Source organism: Homo sapiens, chromosome 20, assembly GCF_000001405.40.
Source record: "Homo sapiens chromosome 20, GRCh38.p14 Primary Assembly".
Lineage (NCBI taxonomy): Eukaryota > Metazoa > Chordata > Mammalia > Primates > Hominidae > Homo > Homo sapiens.
In genome coordinates this window covers 20,468,439-20,484,990 of record NC_000020.11, presented here as the reverse complement: position 1 = coordinate 20,484,990, position 16,552 = coordinate 20,468,439, and the positions used below count along the sequence as shown (strand labels likewise).

The following is a 16,552-nucleotide window of genomic DNA, read 5'->3' as shown; positions in this document are numbered from 1 at the left end:
CCAGGGCCGCATGTGGCCCACAGGCCATGGGTTGCACAAGCTTAAGCTACAGCAAATCGGTTAGCCCCTCTAGCCTTCATCTCTTCCTCCATGAAGTAGGGATAAAGTGCTGGCCTCATGGGGTTGTTGTGAGAATTACATACTGTACATTGAGCACTGAGATCAGAACCAGGTTCAGTAATTAGGGATCACAGTCATTGGGCTCATCATCAAAAATGAAATGTTCCTGGGCTTTTAAACCCCTTGTCTATGATTCTTTTGTTATTTTATCTTAATCTTATAATCAAAAAATATCTATTATGTATATTATTTTCATCTCTAATCACTAAGAATCATTGACTCCAAAGGCATCAAAGGAGAATCACTTACAGGCCCAATTAAGTGATGAACCATCTTTAAAATATATTCATGGAGATGCCCTATTGTTCCCTAAGAGGACTTTCTTACTATTTGGAAATCCCTTTCCGTGTCTGGCTCAGGCTCTGCAAAATAGAATATAAATCAGTCTTTTCCCACCTTCAAGAAACTAGTCCAAGCCCAATGAACCATTTCCTGAGCAGCCTCTCCTCAGAGAGTGCTGCTTGCTGGTGCTCCATGGAGTTCCATGGAGTTATGTGTTCCTGGAGGGTGGTGCATGGCCTTCCCCTTCCCACATCCCACCCTGAACCATAGAACACACAAGAAGACATTTAGGATTGAACACATTTTACTTTTCATAAAATGTTTATAAAATGTTCAGTGCATGGACTCCTTGGTGTTTCTGGTAAATAATGTGACTACTATTGTTTTTCCCAACGGGAAAATTACTGTCTTTTGGTACAATATCTTAGCAGATTTATCTGTTGCCCACTTTGACATCTCAAGCATAAATGCACAAGTACAAACACACCCTCTTAATTCATAATCCCTGTGGAACTGTGAATTTCCCAGAGGGGGAAACTGTGTCAGATCCTTGAATCCTAGATCTCAGAGGTGAAGGAAGCATTTTAGGTTGTCTGTTCTGACCTTTATGCAGGACACCCCTGATAGCGTCCCTACCCTTGTGTTTGTGCACCAGCATCACTAGAGTACAAGATCAGCTCAAGGTCCGTATAGCTCTCTCTGAATATCCAGAAACCACTTTTTTTCCCCTTTTAGCCTCTCATTTTTATCCTTCATTATTTCCTGTCTGGCACTTGATTCTCTCATTATTCGTTAGAACTTCTTGATTGTCTGAGATTTACTTAAGGGATCTGGTTAGAAATGTGGGAAAAACATGTTGCTTGTAGTTCTAATGAAATGCCCTCAAGAAGTTCTGTTTCCTAAGTCTGTACACAGGATTTAGGGGGTTGCACATGGTTTCCCTGATGCATGAGGTCAGTGCTTTGTTATTGGCAGATCACCAAGAGAAGACCTGCCCTGCAGTATGAGGTTCCACAGGTGTCGTACAGATTGAGCCTTGATGGATGGTCCTGATGCCTTAGTGATGAGGAAATTTTACCTGTGGAGCAGCTGGGGCCAAGCTTCTCAGGGCGACTGTCCTTGGCCAGGCACTTACATGGAAAGCAGCTCTGGTCTGCTCAACCCACTGGCAACCCTCCACTTGCCCATTCTCTCATGTGTGTAGAAACTTTAACAGTTTCTTTTCTTATTGGCTTCTTAACCTAAAATTATTTTGTAATTCACTGTTGCAATATTCCCTACCAGTTACATTGATCTGTTTTAGAGATTGTGATCATGATTGCAATTACTATTGACTTCACAGGCCCTTTCTTTCCATCATTCTTTGATGGGCAGTGGTATTTCTCTCCACGTATAAAAACATGTACTCTTTCCTACCTGACTTTACCATTTTGGTTTCTGGCCACCTAACTTGTGAGGAACACCCAACAGATCTGCAGCCTTTCCAATTCTCACCACCCACCAGATCTTATCTCCTACTGACACACACAGTGAATGTACCTTCAGCTCAGCCTTTCCATTAAGTAAAAGATGGGAAACTTACCTGGTGCTCTGTGTTGCTTTCATTTGGATGACCAGGACATGATGTGGGTAGATGAGCAGGAGTAGGCAAGTACAGCAGTGCAGAGTCTTGAGAGCAAGCTGGTAATTTCTGCAGGGCATTTCATCAAGTCCCATATCATCTGGCTTCCCATACCTGTTCTTCAGCCTTTTCTCTTATCTGTATGCATTTCCGTACATACCTATTCCAGAGCTTTCCATCCTTCTCAAATCCAGTCTAGGCTTCTATGCCTGCCTCACTTCCTTTTGTGGCCCTACCTCTGACTTCACTTTGCTCTCAGGAATCCCTCAGGAGCTCTGTGCAGTCCTTTGCCATGTTCTGTCCACAGTCTTTCTGTTTATTTATCTGTAATACTTTAATCATTAACTGTAGGCACAGCATTCATACAAACCAGCTAGCACTCAGCTAAATTAGTATCTCTTAAAGTGCACTTTGGGGAACCCTGCGCTAGAAAAGAGAGCCAGACCCACCTCATCTTTTCATTCCTATTTTTACCATTTGTCTGGAGTGCTCCGCTCTTCCCACCGTGAATCTCTGCCAACACCCACTGTCATGACCACTTCCTACATGAAGACTTCCATGGCTTCTCTCAGCTAGAAAAGAACTCTCTGTAGCTTCAGAATATTTTATCTGCGTCCACCCTAAAGCTTTTTTTCCCTTTTGCCTTCTTGAATACATTGTTTTACCTCTTCTGCAAACTACCTACAGTTCAGAGCCTCGACTTGTTCATATCTGTATTCCCCCACAGCCCTTAACAGAACTTTGATCAAATGATGCAAATAAACAGATGGTACATGAAATCTCTGCCCCTTTTGACACAGAAAGATTCACTGTAGTCTTTAGAATTTTCAGACAAAGTTTTAGAGTCTTCTGAGTATTCATTTTTCCCAAAAGCTATCTTCTGGTATTTTAGAGAATGTATTTATATTATACAGAGATAGGAATGTAGGAAAATAAAAATTCTGTTTCTCAGAAATATACCTTACATTTCTCTTAAGGTTTTTACATATATCTCAAAATTGTTTGGTTTTTTTTTACCTTGCCTCTCATTAGGACAGTACTATTTGCAACACGCTTTCGGGGTTGGTAGGGCATTTGAACCTTTTAGTCACTCTGTGAGGCCCACAGGGCAGACAACACTGCCCTTGTGCTCCAAATATGTATGTAGTTGATAAGAGCATAAAGAATTTATCCAAGAGTACTTGATTCTGGCACCAAGTCCAGCATCCTAAATCCCAGTAGACTGAATCTCTTTAAGAGTAGAGAGGTATCAGTTTTCACACCTGTATGCAGATGCTTTTTATATTCTGTGTACACATCCTGTGTTCACATTATAGGTATATGTGTGAAGTCAAGGAGAAATTTGAATTCTAGACCTTTGTATTAAGTTACCCACTTCTTGCATGATAAAGGCAGTGCCAAAAATCTGGACACAGAAATCACAGCCATATCATTGTTATGAACACAATACTTGCAGTTTTTTAGCAGAATGAATAACTGACCAAACTGGGTAAGTTAAGCCACGCACATTCTTCATTTGTCATTTTCAATGTGGCCTGCCTCTCGGTAGGCCCATCCATGGCAATATTCCAATCCTGGAGGCTGGAGGTTATCTGTGAGGAATTGGAACAGAGTTCAGTTGTTCATTGCCCTGCTTTGGACCATCAAGATGTCTGCATTGCATCCTTGAAAGATTAATCCCCATCCCCACAAATCAAATGGGTATTTCAGATCATTTTCTGTGTCCTAAGGATTCTTTTTTGTCTTTGCTCCAACAACTGGGCACTTCCTTGTGCTGGCATGCTGGCTAGTGTTGCCACGTGGACTTCAGCGTTATCACTTTGCTGCAAAAGGCTCTCTTTGCTTTCACAGTATCTTGCCAAGAAGAGTCCCTGGATATGAAGTGTCTTCATCTGGACCCAAACCTGAGAAAGAAATTAATTTGGGCTGCACCTTCTAGGTGTGTGCCTCCCCTGAGCACTGTACTTCTTTAGTCAAGGAACACATGATAGGGGCTCCACAAGCAGCTCCTAATCTGCAGGTGGTAAGGAAATCCAGTTTGTCAGCAGTCATGGAAAATCTTATTAATCCCCAGGCTTTGGTCATCATGTTAGGAGAGGGCACTTATGAGTCACTCAGAAACTTTAGGTGGTTGTGAAATATACATGCTCAGCAGGATGAAATACTGCTATAAGGTTCTGATTAGGACTGATACTTGATGTTGTCTTCCATTAAATTTACCATTGAGCATGGGATCAGGAGTGAGTGCTCCATGAGAACCCTTCCGCATCCGCTTTGTACAGCAGCAGCACTGTTTTCCCTGGCAGGACCACTCACCCTGTCTATCCTGGAGCCTCCTTTACTGCCTCAGTGTCCAGTGGTCTGTGGAGCCTAAAATACCTGACCATCAGTTTCCTCTTCCCACTGAGAACACTGTATCTTCTTCTAGGAAGTACTTAAGTACTAAAGTACTCCTTAAGTACTAAAACTAAAGTCAGAGACTATCATCATAGGGATAGGAAAAAAGGACATACCATACCTTATGGGTCAGCATCCCCAACTCATGGGGTAATATATCCCACTTAGCTTGGTGAATGATTTTCAGCAGTCATCAAACAGGCAGGAGGCTGTGTGGGTAGGCCCTCCTGTAACTCCACTGGTCCCGTGTGCCTTACTCATACTGTATTTCTTACCACAGGTTGGGATATATCTTGCTGTAAGGCAAGTCCCTACCCAGTTCTTCTTTGGCTTTTTTTAGCCAATTTCATTTCTACAAATGTCTTAGAATCAGCTAGTCAAGATACATACATGCCATGCATTAAATCCATAGGTCAGTCTAGGAAGGAAAGTCACAACAATATTGAGTCTTCTAGTCCAAGAACACATCTATCATTTCATTTATTTAAACTAACATCTCTGAATAAAGTTTTGTAACTTTCTTTATACTTTCCTTGTTAGATCTATTTTATATTTTTATGCTGTTGTAAATAATATTTCCTTTTCTAACCATTTGTTGCTGGTGGAGAGGAATGCATTTGGATTTTTGGTGAATGTATTCTGTATCCATTGACTTTGATAAACACTCTTACTAATTCTGACCATTTGCCATAGATTATGTTGGAGATTCTGTGAGTACAGTTATACCATCTAAAAAAATGACAGTTTTTCTTCCTTTCTAATTCATAGTCCTCTATTTGTGTCTTGCATTACTGTATTGGCAAGGATCTCCAGTGCAAATGTTGGTAGATGTGATGTAGGGGGACATTTCTTTTCTCCTTCACAGTCTCCCACATCAAGTTCTCAATGTTTCACCATTTAGTGGTTGCTCTGGAATTCTGTAGGTATTCTAGAACAGATTAAGGAAGATCCCTTCTATTCCAGGATTGCTAAGAATTTTTTCCTTAACTGGATTTTGGATTTTATTAAACACTTGTTTAAATGTCTTTTGAGGTGATTACCTGACTTTTCTCATTCAATCTATTAATGTGGTTGTATACAGACTGATTTTTACTGAAAATTGTATTCTTGGGATATACCCGACTTGGTCATGATATTGTTATTTTTGCACATTATGGAATTGGCTTGCTGATATTTTGTTAGGGTTTTTGTATGCATGTTCATAAGTGAGATTGGCCCCTCATTTTGGTATTAAGATTGTACTAGCCTAATAAAATGAGTATATTTTCTGTTTTCCTATACTATGGAAGTTTCTCCAAAATAATAGTTATTTGTTCTTTCGAAGATTTTATTTGAATTTTATTATTTTGAATATGGTTATTCGAAGATTTTATAGAATTTGCCAGTGAAGGCTTCTGAGCTGGCTTTTCCTTGTTAGAATGTTTTTTTCTACTATGATTCATCTACTTTAAAGCTCATAGAATTATAGCTTTTATATATCATCTTGTGTCTGTGTTTGCTAAATTGTATTTTTTTTCTCATTTGGCCATTTCATCTAAACTTTCAAATTTATAGGCATAAAGCTACGTATATTTTCTAAGTATCTATAGTTGGATTCCTTTTTGTTTCTAATATTATTTAGTTGTGCTTTTTTTTTCTTGATTCACCTTGCCAAAGACCTGTCAATTGTATTAGACTTTTTTCAAAGAACGAACTTTTTTTTTTCAACTTTTATTTTAGATTCCAGGAGTACATGTGCAGGTTTGTTACCTGGGTATATTGCATGATGCTGAGGTTTGGGGTATGAATGGTCCTGTCACCCAGGTACTGAGCTTAGTACTAACTACCCAATAGTTAATTTTTCGACCCTTGCTCCCCTCCCTCCCCCTTCTGGTAGTTCCCAGTTTCTGTTGTTGCCATCTTTTTATACAATTTTTGTTGTTATCTTTATGTCCATGAGTACTCAATGTTTAGCTCCCACTTATAAGTGAGAACATGCGGTATTTGGTTTTCTGTTCCTATGTTAATTTGCTTAGGATAATGGCCTCCAGCTGCATCCATGTTGCTGCAAAGGACATGATTTTTTTTTTTTCTTTATGGTTCCTTAAAGAACTAACTGTCGATCTTGGTTCTCCTTTTTATTGTATGTTTGTTTTCTATTTTTAAATGATGACTTTTATCTTTATTAGTTCTTTCCTTCTACTTTCTTTGAATTTGTTTGATTCTTTTGGTTTTTCAGTACTTCTTGAGATGGGTGCCTATCTCATTATGTTGCAGTCTTTATTTCTTTCTAATATGAGCATTTCATTCTACACGGTCCCTGTAAGTACTGCTATAAGGTATAAGTTATAATATCTACTAGTCTTATTTTATCAGTTAGCTTAACATATTGCTAAATTTCCATTTCAATATTTTGTTGACCCATGAGTTATTTAGAAGTGTATTTCTTAATTTCTAAACATAGAGGTTTGTGCCAATTATCCTTTTGTTGTTGTTTGTTGTCAATAGCTTTTTAGGCACAGAATATGGATTGTAAAATTTCCACCCCTAGAAATTTATTGAGATTTGCTTTATAACCTAGAAGAGAGGCCAGCAAACATTTTTTGTAAAGGGCCAGATAGTAAATATTTTAGGCCTTGGGTCTGTCACAACTAAATAACTGTGTCATTATTGTGCAAAAGTAGCCATAGAAAATGTGTAAGTGGGCCGGGCACAGTGGCTCATGCCTATTATCCCAGCACTGTGGGAGGCTGAGGTGCATGGATCACTTGAGGCCAGGAAGTCGAGACCAGCCAGGCCAACATGGTGAAACCCCGTCTCTACTAAAAGTACAAAAAAATTAGCTGGGCTTGGTGGCACAGGCCTATAGTCTGAGCTACTTGGGAGGCTGAGGCACTAGAATTGCTTGAACCGGGGAGGCGGAGGTTGCTGTGAGCCAAGATTGAGCCACTGCACTCTAGCCTAAGCAACAGAGTGAGACTCTGTCTCCAAAAAAAGAAAATGTGTAAGTGGATAAGTGTGGCTGTGTTCCATTAAAATTTATTTATGAACTGAAATTTAGATCTCATAATTTTCACATAGTAAAATACTCTTTTAATTTTTTTCCAACTGTTTACAAAGTAAAAAGCATTCTTAGCTTGCAGGCCATACACAAGTAGGTGCCAGGTTGGAATTAGGCCCTGCAGGCTGTATTTGTGGATCCTTGGCTGAGGATATGGTCACTTTTTAAAAAGTATTCTGTACATGCTTGAAATGAATGTGTTTTCTGCAGTTGTTGGGTAGAGTATTTTATGTTTCCATTATGATGAGTTTGTTAGTTGTCTTGTTCAAATCCTCTGTATTCTTGCTGTTTTCTGGAAAACGTTTCCTTGGAAATATATTTAATATTGAAAAGGACACAAATTGTAAGTATACAACATGATGGATGTTTTCAAAGTGAACACACTTGTGTAATACCACCCCAGATCAAAATAGAGGATGTTGCCAGCCTCCTAATTCTTGCTCGTGCCCCATCTCAATCACTAATACAATGAAGAAGTGGCCACTATTCTGACTTTTGGGCCTATTGATTCATTTTACTTGGTTTTGAACTTTTAGGAATGAAATTATGTAGTATGAACTTTTTAGTGTCTGTTTCTTTCACTTGTCATTATATTTGGATTATTTTCATGATGTTACATGTAGTTGTGGTTTGTTCATTTTCGTTACTGTGGAATATTCTGTTGGGTGAATATAACACAAACTTTTAATTTGTTCTCCTCTGGATGGACCTTGTGGCTATGTTCTGTTTGGTGACTATATATAACTTGCCTTTTCATTTTTGTGATGGGCAGAGTTTTAGAAATTTCTATATAGTCCAATGTATTTTCTTTTATTTATTTATTTATTTATTTATTTATTTATTTATTTATTTATTTTATGATTTATGCCTTTTGTACCCTAAAAAATCCTTGCCTATCCTAAGGTCGTGGCAATTTTGTCATATTTTTTTTCTGGAGGCTTTATGGTTTTAGCTTTAATATTTCAGTCTATAACCCTCTCAATTTTTGTGTGTGATATGAGATGAAGGTCAAGGTTCACTTTTCCATATGGCTCTCCAGTTGTTCCAGTGTCTTTATTGAAACAGGCTTTTTTCTTCCACCAAACTGATATGCTGCCTTTATTGCAAATCAATTACCATGTAGGTATGGCTCTATTCTTGGACTCTGTATTGTGTTTTATTGAAATATTTGTTTATCCTGGTACCACTATAATGATTTCTTAATTATTATATTTTTATAGTGTGCCATGAAATTAGGTAATATAAGTCTTCTTATTATCATCTTGACTAATTTATGTCTTTTCATTTCCTTATGAACTTAGAAGTATTCGGTACATGTATATTTTTTAAAGGCTTGCCAGAATTTTGATTGGGTTTTGTTGAATCTATAGCTTAATGTTAGCAGAATTGACATCTTAACAATATTGAAACTTCCAGTCCATGAACATTGTACATCTTTCCATTTATTTAGCTTGTCTTTAATTTATCTCATCACTGTTTGGTAGTTTTCAATATAGATGTCTTGCACATTCTTTTATCAAATTCATTCTGTTTTGATGCAGTTATAAACAACATTTTTACATGTCTTTTCCCAATTGTTGGTTGCTAACATTCAGAAATATAACTGATTTGAGGAGTATATTGTTTTCTGAGGCTTATCAAAATTCACTCACTAATTCTAGTTAAATTCTTTGGACTTTTCATATACATAATCATGATATCTGTGAATAAAAACAGTTTTACTTCTTTCTAACCTTTATGTTCCCCTCTTCTCCCCTACCCTTCTTCTTTCTTTCTCTTAATTTTCTTTATTGTAGTGACTAGGATCTTCAAAAATGTTGAGTAGAAGAGGTGAACATAGACATCCTTGCCTTTTCAGATCTCTTTTAGAAAATACTTAATCTTTCATCATTAATTATGACACCTTTTTCCCCCTTTAAGCTCTCATTAAATTGAGGCATTTCCCTTCTATTCCTGGTTTGCTGAGAGTTTTTGTTCTGTTTTGTTTTTCTAATTATGAGTGAGAGTTAAATTTTATTTAATGCTTGTTCTGTGTCTGTTAAAGTCATATGGTTTTTATTCTGTATTTTGTCAATGTGGATTTTTGCACATTGCAAAAATAAATTGCACTGATGGATTTATGAATGTTAAATGAACCTTGAGTTCCAATGGAAAATTCTGCTTGATAAGATATATTGTCCTTTTTTATCTTGCTGGGTTTAATTTACAAAAAAATTATAAAGGATTTTTGCATCATTGCTGAGAGATATTAGTCCATAGTTTTCTTACCATGTCAGCTCTTTATGGGCAGAGACAGTCTCTCCTTCATTATTGTATCCCAAGCACCTTCACCAATGCCAACCACAGAAAAGGGGCTTTACAAATAAATAGTTTTTGAGAAAAGTTTAAAGACCTAGGATGGAGACCCACATTCATTAATTTAAATTATTTAAAATATTAATGAATGTAACTCATTTAGCAGGTATTTGCCTTCCAATTGTGTGTCAGGTACAGTGCTACTCAGAAGGGGTTTTCTTGCTCCATCTCCAGCCACTCTTTCTTTTCTAATTGTTTCTCATGTCTCTAAGCTCTAAACATTGGAAGGCCAGAGGATATAGTCATTGAGTCTCTTTTCTTGATCTTTTGTTGATGTTATGTGATCTCATGGCTAGAAACATCATCTCTAAGTGAACAGCTTCAACCTAGGCCTTTCCCCTGACTCTAGCATGGTATAGCTACTCCTGCCCAATACATCATCACTGGATACCCAGTAGGCATCTCTAACTTAGCATGTCTGAAGTTGAGCTATTGACCCTCCCTCTCAGTCTTCTCCATTTCAGGAAAACGTAGCTCCAGCCTTCCAATGGCCAGGCCAGAAACTGTGGCATCATCCTTGACACCTCTCTGTCTCTCCCACCTCATTAACCATCCTCAACAAATCCTGACAACTCTACCTTCAAAATATATCTGTCACCTTTCTCCACTTCTGCTGCCATTCTGATCCAAGCCATTACCACCATCTCTTGCTTTATTCAGTAGTCACCAGCTAGTCTCCATAATTCCCCTTTGCAGTTTTGTCAACACAGGTGCCAAAACAATACCTTTAAAATGTATTTTAGATCATATCCCCTGCTTCCCTAAATCCTCAGGAGGATTTGATCTTACTCAGAACAGAAATCCAGAACCCTTAAAACTTCCTATAAAGCACCCCTTGTGACCTGCTTGACTTTAGCTCTTAATTCTTCCTTTTTCTCGCTTGGCCCCAGCCATGGTTGCTTAAACATACTAATTCTACTCCCACCACAAGGCCTGTGCTGTTACTCTGCCTGGAATGTTCTTCCGTTAGATGTTCTCATAGCTTGTGGTTCATTCATCACTTTCTTTAGGCCTTTACTGAAATGTCATCCTCTTCTTAAAGCCCACCCTGGCCATTAGAGCCAACTGGAGACCCCTCCCAAAAATAAAGTTATATTGCTCTTCCCTGCTTTATTTTTACCTTAGCACTTTTCCTGCCTGTCATATATTTTATATGTTTATACTGTTTATTCTCTAAAATCTCCAATAAATTCCAAGCTCAATAAATTCAGGGATTTTTGTACTATTCACTGTTGTTTCTGCAGTGAGTAGAACAGTGTCCAACACATAATAAATATTTTCTGAATACATGAATAGGGGAGTAATAAGTGAATGAATATAAGAGTTACATGATCTCATGGAGCTCATGTAAGAATTGTGATCTCATGGAACTTACAATCTGCATGTTACTGAATAAAATTAAAGAAATTCTAATGGGGGAAAAAGGAGAGAGAAGAAATAAATCCAAAAAAGGCAAGCACAGAAACTTGTGAGTTTTCCACATAACAGAAATGGGTTCAGCTAAGAAAAGCCAGTCTCTATTAAAAACAGAAGCTGGGTGTGGTGGTGCAACTGTAATCCCAGCTACTCAGGAGACTGAGGTGGGAGGATGCTTGAGCCCAGAAGTTCCAGGCTGCAATGGGCTATGATTGTGCCACTACACTCCAGTTTGGGTGAGAGAAGGAGACCCTGTCTCAAAAAAAAGTAGAAGGAAATGAAGGTAATGCAGTATCTTGGAAGCAGAGGGGGAAAAGGTCGAGAAGAATGAGGACTGTGTAGGACTTTGTAGTTGTTGACAGGGATCATCATCATCTCCTTTAAGAGTTAATATACATCAGGACCCATGGCAGGAACATTACCAGTTCCATAACTGGTTTCAGACAGATGCAAGGATAGTGTGCAGTGAAGCATGTCTGTGTATCATGCATAATTCACATGATGTAGGCACTTAAGAGCAACACCATTTCTGTAAATGACAACAGAAGAGAAAAAACGAAGAACCTGGTAAAATTTTGTCATTGAAAGTTTTGCTGAAGAATCCCTAGTAAAGGAGCATTGTGGGGCAGTCCTGCTTCACTCAATTTGAAAGCCCTAGACCTGTGTCCTGTTAAGGTCAGCGTCTGCTCTGTGGGTGACAGCTTAAGTGCTCATTGCAGGTCTGACATCAGTCAGCTACTCTCATATCTTTGATTTGACTTTTATCAGTTTTTAAAATTTGTTTTTCCATTTCAAATCAACAGGTTCCATTTTTTGGGCCTCTGTTTGATGGAGCCATAGTGAGTGGGAAGCTGCTGCCAAGCCTTGTATGTGCCACGTGCATCAACGCCAGCAGGGCTGTGAAGTGCCTCATCCCACTCTACCAGAGCTTGTATCTTTTTGCTTTAAATGTGTAACTTACTAACCATCCCAGAATCAAGATTCCTGGCAGTTTTTCATAAGAGGTAAGTATTCAAAACTGAATTGAAGAGGGAAGAGAATTTTTTTCAACCTCTGTTAAAAATAACATAGTGGTTTTTCATAGCATTTGTTAATTTATATTAAATATAATAATTTTATGCTGCATTAAACTTAGAGTTTACTTTCATAATTTACTCACATACGTTTGTGTCTGAGAAGCTGTGACCATTATGAGATGCTCATATCTTCTTAGGTATTTTGCCCCACGTTCAGTCTCATCCTGTATCCCTCTTATTTGTGGCAGTCCATTGTATATAAGGTGGGATGCTGAGCAAAACGTATCGCTCATTCAGAGTGCCTACCAGAAACCAAAGCAAATGAAATGACCCTAATAAATCAAAGAATGTGGCAGGTACCACCTGAGAAGTGCAAGTAGGTTTCTGGAAGATCAGAGGAGATAGAAATTGCATTTGGTTGAGGGTAGAGGGAAAGATGTCCTGAATTAAGTTGCATTTGGACTTATCAATAGGAATAGCTAGAAATTCTTTTGTAATTTTCCCAAATCATTGATATTTTCTCTAGTTCCTGATTTTGTTTCCAAAAACAGAATAAATTTCACTCCTAAAATTTTTTCCTCAAACATTAATTGGCCTGCTGTAGTCCTTAAATTCAAGCATGATCTCAAGTTATAAGAAAAAGAGATTAAGATGGGTGACCTTATAAAATTGATGCAAAAAAAGTGACCTCCTAATAAAACTTAGAATCTCTTTGTTTCTAATTGGTATTGATAATAATTTGAAACATATTGTGTTTGACCTCTATATATACTTCTCCCAACCTGATAGTAAGTGATGTGTTGCTATAGCAAGTGAGAGTTGGGGGTAGATGAAAACTATCCCATGTGAATAGATACGGTTCATGAAAAAATACCTTTCATTAAAATCCTGGTCACTTCATTGACTGATATTCTGCCTTTAGATTAAAAAAAAATACATATGCCATGTGGCAACTTAAAATTATCATAGAAATGAGTAGTAGAAAAGAGCTATTAGGTCCCATCTGGTCCCTCCCCTGGGGGCCAGGGCAGGATTATTCCCTTCAGTGTACTCTCTCGTGCTTTGTCCAGGCTGGTGGTGAGTGTTTTGGAGATGGCATTCTTTGCAGTGATTTCCACAACACTGTAGACGTAATCTTGTGGCTGGTGTCAATTTGGCCTTCAGCATGGAGTTTTTATTTCACATACTATTAAAAAGAGCCTCTTGGCAGAAATGAGAAAGAACTATTCAGCGATTAGTTTGTCAGTTTGCATGTCAACTAGGACGAGCTGGGCACGCATCAGTCAAGTATGTTGGACCAAGGCAGCAAAAAAAAAAAAAAAAAAAAAATCTTATTTTACAAATGAGAAAATTCCATTTTATATTAATTCCATTGTGACTTTTGTCATGTCACCTTCTCTACTTACTGAACTTCTCATTATAAAATACTTGCTTTGTTATTTTGTTTAACACTGCTTTCTCAAATAAGAATTAATGTGATACAATTGGAATGATCAGGTTTAGGGAAAATGGTATTTTTAAAAGTTCAAAGGATACTATTCAGAATCACTTTGAAAACTTTTCAAGCAGTGACACATCAGGACTAATGTGGATACCAGCTAGGGCTACTGATGCTATTGTGTGTTAGTAAATGTACTCTAACTCACAAAATAGCTAACTTGACATCTCAAACAACAATGTAGTACAGAAATTAGGAAAAATATTTTAAAAACTATTATGTTGATCATTATCAATATTTTAAACTTTTTTTTGTCTTGTACCTGGAGAAAATTTAATTGGTATTATTCAAATAAATTGTTTAAAACAAGAAATCAACTGTTATACCTAATTTTTTATAGAGATGGAGTTAGTGGGGAAAACTTTGCAATCATTTAACTACTCTATTCTTTTAATTTCTGTCTGCAGAAGGGCTAATATTCAGGACAGAAATAAGGAATATAATAAGAGAAAACAAATAAAATGGAAAACAGTAATGTTAGAATAACATTAAATAGCAAATAAAAAATACCATGACAAGTTGAGAGATTGCAGACAAATAGGAAAACCTTTATATTTTAGGACCTTTAAAGGCATTTTTTCCTATTTTTTGAAAAAGGAGCCCTATATTTTCATTTTGCACTGGGACCCTCAGGTTATATAGCCAGCCCCGGTTCTAGGTGTGCCCAAGGTACTGCTGATCTCCTCAGCCCTTGGGGAGATTACACATGCTGGGCATGATGGGCCCTACACTCCCTCCCCACTTATTGCACCTGACATCAGGCAGCTGTGGGAGTTTACTCTGGATGCTGTGCTAAGATGACAACTAAAGAAACGAGCCAGTGGAATTACTTTGGAGTAGTTTTTCTTATCTCTCTGTCCTCTCCCCAGCTAATGACTGATACTTACTGCCTTAAAATCGTGTCAGTTGGGCTTTAGTTTTTATAATATTTAACTAGAAGTGGAAATGTGGGCAGTTACATATTAATTTTGTTCGCTATGTTTAAGAAAATGAAACATTTCTAATTAAGCTAAGGATGGGGGCATTGCTGGAGCAAATTTTCCCTTTGGGGGTCTTTTTGAGAAGTAAATGCAGTTAGAATCAATATCAAAGCAGTTCTTATTTGGGAGCCCTTGGCTGAGTTAACAGTTGGAACTCTGCAGCAAAGGCACATAGAAGACTGAAAAATACCATTGTCTTATATGATTAAAAAAAAATGTAAGCACAGTAGGGGTATCTTTGGAAAGCACCCTCAGGAACGGTTCATCGCAGCCCCTTTGTCCCTCCTGGGTTCTCCTGTGATGTCCTCTGCAGGCTAAATCAAATTTGTCAAGTGGAGCCTTCATCTTGTGGCCACTGCTTTTCTGAGTGATGAGGGCCAACTCACCTGCCATCTGCTTTTTCTATCCCTCATGGGCAATCAAAGAGCCTATTCCTGTGCCTAGAGGGTTGTAAATGGGAAGCTTGCCACATGTTATGTTTACCATTCCCAAGCCGACTAAAGATTCCAAAATCAAACCGTGGTCAACTGATAGACGTTTCCACAACCATTTGAGCCAAGGTTTTCATTCTTCTCATCAAATAACTTGTTTCAGGGAAAAGGTTGCCACACAATATGCAGTGTGCCCGTTAGGAGGAGTTCACCCTGAATCAAACAGATGGTGGCTTTTTAAAATAAACGTCCACTTCAATAGAACAATAGTCTCAATGGCATTCACCATCTCTACTCGCTGTAACTATCAGCATTTGATGGAGAGAACTGGGCTGCCTAAGAAAAAATAATTTTGTATCTCATTCTTTCACAAGTGAAATGTACTTTCATTTTCAGTTAACATATGTGTTTGATAGTACCAGAGTGTCCCCTCTTAGACCCATGACTTTGGAATCTCATTGCTAAATTCTGCTACGAATTTTCACATCTTCAAAAATGACTCCTCTCCCTAAAGCTATAACAACCTTGTTTCTTTCTTGTTCAGTGGGATCTTTGGTTCTTTTTCCTGGACAGATCTTTATTTTTTCCATTCATCTCCATACATTTCAGAAAATAAGTCAAATGGTACCATGTGTTCTATTTTGCCGGGCAGCACCAGTTAGCATTCGTCAACATTTACAGTGCCCCTGCCATGTGCCAGGCACAGTCGTTGCCGCTAGGAATAGAAATGTGAAGATACTCCAAATGAGGGGCCAATGTTTGTTCATGGACCAGGCTTTGAAAGAGCACATCATATTATCACATTTGAGAATGACAGATGCTTCCATATGGCAGAGTATAGAATACACACACACACACACACACACACACAAACACACACACACACACACACAGGATGGAGGTGATGGAAACATTTAAGGGGCCATGGACGGGGTTCTGAGAGAGAGCAGGGGTCTCGTCGAAGGCAGTGGCAGGGATGATGGATTGGATATCTAGGTAAAGGAGGTGGACTAAGTCAGTGTGGGACCTGCTAGATTTGTGGGGGTGTGGAGAGAATGAGAAGAATAGAACGGTGGTCTCTTGGTGGTATGAGAACAGAATCGCAGACAGAACTCTCTGGGCCATTTGAAGAAATGGCTTGAAAGGAGGGGGCAGAGATAAAGAAAGACGGGAATAGGAGAGAATGGTTTCACAGAAAAGCAGGAAAGAGAGAAATGAAGGGTTAGTTTCAGCAGACTGGCCAAGAAAGAGACATCCTACTGGGTGGTTTTATTCATGACTGGTTCTAGCAGACTCAAGTCTTCACCTGGAGGATTGGGTATAAGAGGACCTAGAACTGAATTACTGCAAGGTAAGATGTTAAAACATATCAGATAGTAGCAGCACCACAAAGAAA

At 38.3% G+C, this 16,552-nt stretch overlaps 1 protein-coding gene across 18 annotated transcripts in view; it reads left to right on the top strand.

Moving 5' to 3' along the window:
* RALGAPA2 (Ral GTPase activating protein catalytic subunit alpha 2) overlaps positions 1–16,552 on the top strand; it is a 323,115-nt gene that overhangs the window by 227,654 nt on the left and 78,909 nt on the right. For 13 of the 18 annotated variants that reach the window (XR_007067471.1, XR_937111.3, XR_007067470.1 and 10 more), the window contains one exon: positions 12,035–12,162. Coding sequence is in view for 13 of the 18 variants with exons in the window: in XM_011529310.3 (XP_011527612.1) it covers positions 12,035–12,162 (128 nt within the window). In the remaining 5 variants the exon portion in view is untranslated. Of the gene's footprint in view, positions 1–12,034; positions 12,362–16,552 lie in introns of those variants that run through there. The other 5 variants (XM_047440320.1, XM_047440321.1, XM_011529309.2 and 2 more) reach the window with 3 other exon arrangements.